Source organism: Homo sapiens, chromosome 7, assembly GCF_000001405.40.
Source record: "Homo sapiens chromosome 7, GRCh38.p14 Primary Assembly".
Classification (NCBI taxonomy): domain Eukaryota; kingdom Metazoa; phylum Chordata; class Mammalia; order Primates; family Hominidae; genus Homo; species Homo sapiens.
This window is the reverse complement of record NC_000007.14, coordinates 28834742-28842346: the sequence shown is the minus strand read 5'-3', so window position 1 is coordinate 28842346 and position 7605 is coordinate 28834742. Positions and strand designations below refer to the sequence as shown.

At 43.0% G+C, this 7605-nt stretch overlaps 1 annotated feature.

Annotated features, from left to right (window-relative positions):
• Window positions 3441-4132: an enhancer, noted in NCBI's record as "H3K27ac hESC enhancer chr7:28877832-28878523 (GRCh37/hg19 assembly coordinates)". NCBI's record gives its function as "activates a minimal SCP1, AML or CMV promoter by ChIP-STARR-seq in naive H9 embryonic stem cells {active_cell/tissue: H9 hESC(naive)}" and the evidence as "EXISTENCE:reporter gene assay evidence [ECO:0000049][PMID:30033119]".

The following is a 7605-nucleotide window of genomic DNA, read 5'->3' as shown; positions in this document are numbered from 1 at the left end:
GAGCAATTGTTCTGAGGGATGGCCAATCACAAACCCACAGGCACAAGAACCTTCTTCCTAGGGCACAACGACCTTGTTCCCCACAAGCCCCCTTCAGCATGATCCTATAAAACTTCTCCCCAGCCCCTGCCTCTGCAGACAGTCCCTTCTCTGCTGTGCTGCCCATTGCAACCTTGCAATGTATTTTCATAGTTTAATAAATCTGTCTTTCTTTACCTACAGCTGTCTTGGTACATTCCTTTACTGCCTCAGCCTCTGGGCCCAGATAGTAGCTACCTGTGACAAAGATCTCATGAAGTTATTTGATCCCCTCATCCTCAGTGCTTAATTTAGCATGACTTAGCAAGTCTCTTTCTTTGCTTCCTTCCCTTCCTTCCCTCCCTTCCCTCCCTTCCCTCCCTTCCCCTCCTCCCTTCCCTGACTTCCCTCCCTTCCCTTCCTCCCTTCCTCCCTTCCCTCCCTTCCCTCCCTTCCCCCTTCCCTCCCTTCCCCTTCCCTTTCCCCTTCCCCTTCCCCTTCTCCTTCCCCTTCCCCTTCTCCTTCTCCTTCCTTCCTTCCTTCCTTCCTTCCATCCCTCCTTCCCTCCCAGAAAAAGAGCACTAAGAAAGAGTGATTGTTTCAGGGATTCTCCCCATTAAGGAGAAATGCATTTTTGTGCATGCATGCATGCACACATGTGTGTGTACACATACCTATGTATAGCCATTTGGTTCCTGAAAGATATTTGAAGTGAGCTAAAGCATCTTAGCCTTGCAAGAACACCTGTTCTTTACCTTTTCCTATGATTGCAATGTTTCATGCACAAATATTTTAATTTTTCTTAAGTGAAATTCACCTAGATGCAACTTTTCTTGAACGTAGTTAAAGTAATAGAGACAATCACATTGAAGAATTGCTTTTCAAGAAGCACATTGTGGTGTTTGGGCTCTGAGGTTGTGGTAGTCCACACCTTCATAATCTCTTCTCCCCAGCAGCACCATGGCCACTGCTGCATTGTTCTCCCAGTCCTTAGAGACTGACCTGCTCAGGTTCATTAATGGTTGGACTTTCCTTGGTATTTGCTTACATAACAATATCAGGACACATGTCTTTAATATTTTATCAGGTTTAAAGGGTAGTTTTCCTAGCATGGCATTGTGTGGCCTACAGAACAAACTAGGAGGGAGAAAGAAGGCTCTTGGCTTGTAGTAAGCAACATGACTTTAATATACATTCTGATATTAAACATTTGATTAACTTGATAACGAGACTGCAGGTGGGTATTAAGATGTTGGTTTTTGCCTTATCATAAAGACAGCTATTAAAGAATAGTGCACTTTACTTAAGTGTATCTCCCTTAGCTGGTGTAATGGACTCCTGAACATAAAAGTCACATAGTCCCGACCTGTGTCTATGCTGCCTGCTTGTTCTGGAGAACCGGGCACGGTCTAATTGTTTGATTTGGCTGTTTGCATATGAAAATGGAGTTCAAATGCTTCTTATAAGTGAACACTTGGAAGGGGAGTGGAAATGTATCCATTAGCTAAAAGAGCTGAATGCACTATAGGATGTAGAAGAGCCACTCTATTTGATTATTAAGTGTTTTGTAACCTGAAACTGTAAGTTAACAAGAATAAAATGAAATGACCCAGGAGCAGAACATTCTTTTAAACCTGCAAATGAGAGAAGCAACACCCCTTGTGGCTACTCTGAGAAATGGCCAGGATCCCTTTAGATATTTTCTAGTTGGCTAACTGATTATAAAACAGTGTCTGTCTGCTTGGGAGACATTATTTTATAAACAAATATTTCACTGTTTCCTACCAATTAAAGCCACTCCGGGAAACAAGTACTTCTACCTAAATCTTTAAACAATCGAATGTCTTAAGGCTGGCCTTTGAGTAGGCTGGCTCTTAGGATGGGAACCATGATCCTAGCTGGAAACATTTGCAGTATGTTCTAGTTTTTTCTATGAAAGCTCTTTGGCTCCCTTGCTGTTTGTCTTCTTGATGGTTATATTAAATTAACAATGTTAAAAGAAGGAGTTTTCAAATTTGAGTCTCCTGGGGAGCTTGTGAAGACACAGCTTGCTTGCCTCATTCCTAGAGTTTCTGGTTTAAAGAGTCTGAGGAAGGGCATGTAATTTTGCATTTCTTACAGGTTCCAGGTGATGCAGCTGCTGTTGGTCCCAGGACCACACTTGGAGAGTCACTAAATTCAGTGATTTCTGAGATCCCTCCCATAGGTGCCCCCAGCAGTCCGGTGAATTTAATGGAAGCTTTTCTGTCATGATAATTGATCAACTAAAAAAAAAAAAAAAAGAAAGAAAAGAAGCCTCCTCTGATTTCTATTATCCAGAAAACTAGCTAATCTCTACCAGAAAGTAGACTTTTTACAACAATCTTAGAATCTTAGGTGTATTTAATTAGAGTAAGTGGTAGACAAATGCAAGCTGAAATGTTGGATTCTTTTCCCAAGGGAAAGGTGAATTGACTGTTGAAATTTCTATTTATGAGTTTTGTTTATGAATGGAATGAGTTGCTACTTTATAGAAAATTTAAAGTAAGCATTCAACATGTAAAATATTTCTACCTGATGGAGACCAGAGGCATAAGTTAGGGCCAAGCAGTGTTACTGGGTAAAAAGAAGGTCTGAGGCAAGTGTTGAAGAGAGGAGTCAAAAAGGAGCAGAGAAAGGCTGAATTAGAACTAATAGTAGATACTGCCTACTACATAGTTTTTTCTATGAAAGCTCCTTGGCTACTTTGCTGTTCGTCTTCTTGATGGGTTATATTAAATTTTTTTTTTCTTTTTATTTATTTATTTATTTATTATTATTTTTTTTTATTGATCATTCTTGGGTGTTTCTCGCAGAGGGGGATTTGGCAGGGTCACAGGACAATAGTGGAGGGAAGGTCAGCAGATAAACAAGTGAACAAAGGTCTCTGGTTTTCCTAGGCAGAGGACCCTGCGGCCTTCCGCAGTGTTTGTGTCCCTGGGTACTTGAGATTAGGGAGTGGTGATGACTCTTAACGAGCATGCTGCCTTCAAGCGTCTGTTTAACAAAGCACATCTTGCACCGCCCTTAATCCATTTAACCCTGAGTGGACACAGCACATGTTTCAGAGAGCACAGGGTTGGGGGTAAGGTCACAGATCAACAGGATCCCAAGGCAGAAGAATTTTTCTTAGTACAGAACAAAATGAAAAGTCTCCCATGTCTACCTCTTTCTACACAGACACGGCAACCATCCGATTTCTCAATCTTTTCCCCACCTTTCCCCCCTTTCTATTCCACAAAACTGCCATTGTCATCATGGCCCGTTCTCAATGAGCTGTTGGGTACACCTCCCAGACGGGGTGGTGGCCGGGCAGAGGGGCTCCTCACTTCCCAGTAGGGGCGGCCGGGCAGAGGCGCCCCTCACCTCCCGGACGGGGCGGCTGGCCGGGCGGGGGGCTGACCCCCCAACCTCCCTCCCGGACGGGGCGGCTGGCCGGGCAGACGGTCTCCTCACTTCTCAGACGGGGCGGCCGGGCAGAGACGCTCCTCACATCCCGGACGGGGCGACAGGGCAGAGGCGCTCCCCACATCTCAGACGATGGGCGGCCGGGCAGAGACGCTCCTCACTTCCTAGATGGGATGGCGGCCGGGCAGAGACGCTCCTCACTTTCCAGACTGGGCAGCCAGGCAGAGGGGCTCCTCACGTCCCAGGCGATGGGCGGCCAGGCAGAGACGCTCCTCACTTCCCAGACGGGGTGGCGGCCGGGCAGAGGCTGCAATCTCGGCACTTTGGGAGGCCAAGGCAGGCGGCTGGGAGGTGGAGGTTGTAGCGAGCCGAGATCACGCCAATGCACTCCAGCCTGGGCACCATTGAGCACTGAGTGAAGGAGACTCCGTCTGCAATCCCGGCACCTCGGGAGGCCGAGGCTGGCGGATCACTCGCGGTTAGGAGCTGGAGACCAGCCCGGCCAACACAGCGAAACCCCATCTCCACCCAAAAAATACGAAAACCAGTCAGGCGTGGCGGCGCGCGCCTGCAATCGCAGGCACTCGGCAGGCTGAGGCAGGAGAATCAGGCAGGGAGGTTGCAGTGAGCCGAGATGGCAGCAGTACAGTCCAGCTTCGGCTCGGCATCAGAGGGGGGTTGGGTTATATTAAATTAGCAATGTTAAAAGAACGAGTCTGTAGAAGCAGTATGTTTATGAGTGGATGAAACATGTACCGCATCAGTGAATATCTGTGGTCTTCTTAGGCCCTTCGGTCCTGTTTCTACTACGTCCTTTGTATAATTAAGGTTTCCAAACCAAGGCCACCTGATGGAGAAACTCTAAAGGATATCAAACTTGAAAGTGCTCATGGATGACCTGGGTTCTTATTAAAATGCAGATTCTGGTACATTACGTCTGGGGCAGGGCCTGAGACTCTGCATGGCTAACCAGCTCCTAGGTGATGCCAGTGAGGCTGGTCCATGACCACCAGGACCAGCTTCATGGGCATGCACCAGTGCAGTTGTGCAGAATTGGGTCCTAAACCATCACATTAATTTCTTCTGATCATTGCTTTATCCTCTTATCTTACAGCCATGACATCAAATATTTGGTCGGCTTGTATAACTACTGCCACATACTAAGCTAGGGGTTTTATGTTTCTCTCCCCTTGATCTAAGTGATCCTGACACTTGCTAGTTTGTAGCTGGAGATTATTTAGCAAATGCTCTGCTTTGCTATTTTTCAGATCTCTCTCTGAGACAGGCTTCTTTCTCCTGTGCTAAATTGTTAGTTTGTTTTCATTTTTCAGATAAATCTCATTAACTGAGTTTTGGGTTTTGAAGTCAACTGTAGTTTTCTGAACCTTCCCCTTGCCTCTGGGCCCTGAAGATGATTAGGAAAAAGCAGGCAGTGACCCCCATGGCTGCCTCTGAATCACCACTGTGTCAGGGATAAGTAGCTCCCAGCCCAAGGAATGGATGATATCTGGTGGTTCTTTTTACATGAATATGTCAGCTACCTTCATTTGTATAATTTCAATTCTTTTCAATGCCAGATGCATATTCAATCCCAGTGAGCTGCTGAGCGGGCAGTCTAATAAATTTTCATTAAGCATCCTCTGTATTTAAGGCACTCATAGGATACTAAACTAGGTTATCAAGTTGGTCATAATCCAGCAGAAAAACTTGGATGGAAGGGAAATTTATTTAGGTGAAGACTGACAGAGTGTTCTACAGAGTGGTGATTCAACAAGTAAGGAAATGATGCTGGTGTATTGACAATAGCCTTGCAGGAATCAGGAGTACAGATAAGTGTCTTCTTCCTGATCCTTTCTGAATCCCTTCAGCTTGGGTTTTCAGCATCCATGTTAGCCAAAGACAGATCTGGCTACTTCCATGAAATTGTCGACTTTTTTGAAATTTTCCTACAGTCAACATACTCAGTGATTATGTTTTGTAGCTAACATGGGGGAAGTCCGAGTTTCTTAATCTGCAGGCTTTTCCTCACTGTTGCAAAACAAACATTTTCTAAGCACTGCACTGGCATTCATGTAACGTCTCATAGGCATCTCATGAGATATGTATTGTTTTCCTGATTTTACAAATGCAGTAACTGAGGCTTTGAGAGGTTAATTTGCAGGTTAAACAGCCAATGATAGAACCAGCATGTAGGCCTGGAAGTGCTGACTTCAGGTCCATTATACTTTCTACTGACTCGTGGGATTTGTGCATTTAAAGAATGTTCCTTAATGTATTGTTCATTTCCAATTTTTATTTTTATTGTTCCTAATGAATTTGCACTCTACTTTGCTGTTTGGAAGAACTTTAAAATTGTTTAGAAAATGAATAAAACTAAGTGGCTTTGGGAGATTGTTTTTGGAAACTCTCTAATTTGAATCTAAATATTTTAATCTTTTATTAGTTAATGCTATTTGATTTAATCAAGAACTGGCCAGGTGCAATGGAGTTAAGTACCATCATTCCATCATTAATGCTTAGTGCACAGAGCTTGGATTTAGACTATTGTTGTAGTAACTGGGCCTCCCATTTCAAAGTTCCCAGGATTTGAGAGGCAGGCTGCTTACCCAAATAGACAAATTAGGCCATGTGATTTGGACAATATTGGGAGATTTTTATTTCAATGAATTAAATCAATCTGCAGCCAGTTTTAATTTACTTGAGGTTTAGTTAAATGTCATTTTCTTTCCCTTTTCTGTTTTATTTTAAAAGACAATATTCTTATTTTGTTTTTATGAACTCAATTTGGAAAGCAATAATACTTTTAATTCCTGGGGCCAATAGACAAAACAAAACAAAACAAAACAAAACATTGGCCTAGAAATCAGGAGGCCTGGTGTCCAGTTTCAATTGTGTGACCTTGACTGAGTCATTTAACCACATTGGGCCTCTGATTCCTCATGGTAGAAGGAGAAATTTGAACTAGCTGCTCTCTGAAGCTTCCTTCCAGTTTTAAATCTGACTTTGCTATTATTGCTTATTTATACTAGAAAAAAGCATGAAAGTAAATGTTTTTCCCTATCTTCTGCATTACTCAAACTAGGTTAACTGCTATTAAAAACAAAAGAAACAAAAACCTTAATGGATTAACAAAATGGAAGTTAACTTCTTGCTTCTACAAACTCCAACATGTTGGTCAGCTCTCTTGGGCATCCCTCCTACATTCAGTGACTCAGGGATCCAGGCACCTTTCATCTGGTGCTCCTTTGTCCTTCTGTGGGTCCTCTGAATCCTCTGCAAAATCCTTATCAGGGGAGTGATGTGAGTCTGGGGCATCTCGCAGAGGTGTTAGGGGCCAGAGCAGACTCCATTGGCTATAACATGTCATGTGATGCCACCTGGATATGGTGGGCTTAGGAACCATAATCCATCTGCGATTGCCCAGAAGGAAGACAAAAAGGTTTGCATAGCATGGTCTCATCCACAGTTCATTAATTCAACAAATATTTATTGAGGGCTACTCTATACCATTTCACTGTAGCTGGCACTGGAGTATGGCAACCTACTCTCTTCCTACGGATCTAAATTCTAGTGGGGGAAATCATGTGGCTAGTGTGTATGTGTATATGCATGTGTATATGTACATGAATATGTATGTATGTAATCTATTTCTAAAATATCTATATGAACTCTGAGATTAAAAATAATATCACAAGTAATAACATTTTAAGAACTTGCTATAGACTAAGCATCATTTTAAGGGCTTTATATATATATATTTTTTTATTAATCCTTGAGCAATTCTATGCAGTAGATGCTATTAATATCCCCATTTTGCATATTAGTAAATGAGACAGAGTTTAAATACCTTGCCCAGGATCAGACAGCTAGAAAGCGGCAAAGCCAAGCTCCAAATGCAGGTAGTTTGAAGCCAGAGTTCACACTCTTACCTGTTGCTCTGAAAGCATGTGCCTGACTAGAGTGACAGTTCATCTAGCTGTATCTTTCTTGGTACCTGCCCAAATTAATTAGCTGAAAACTAAAGAACACCTGAAAGTGGATGTGTGAAAGCACTTTGCAAACTGGAAAACATTATAATGTGACATGACATGTTGCTTTTTCACACTACTCCCAGATCAGTTTGGTTAAAAAAAAACAAAAAATCAAACACATCCCCAAAAT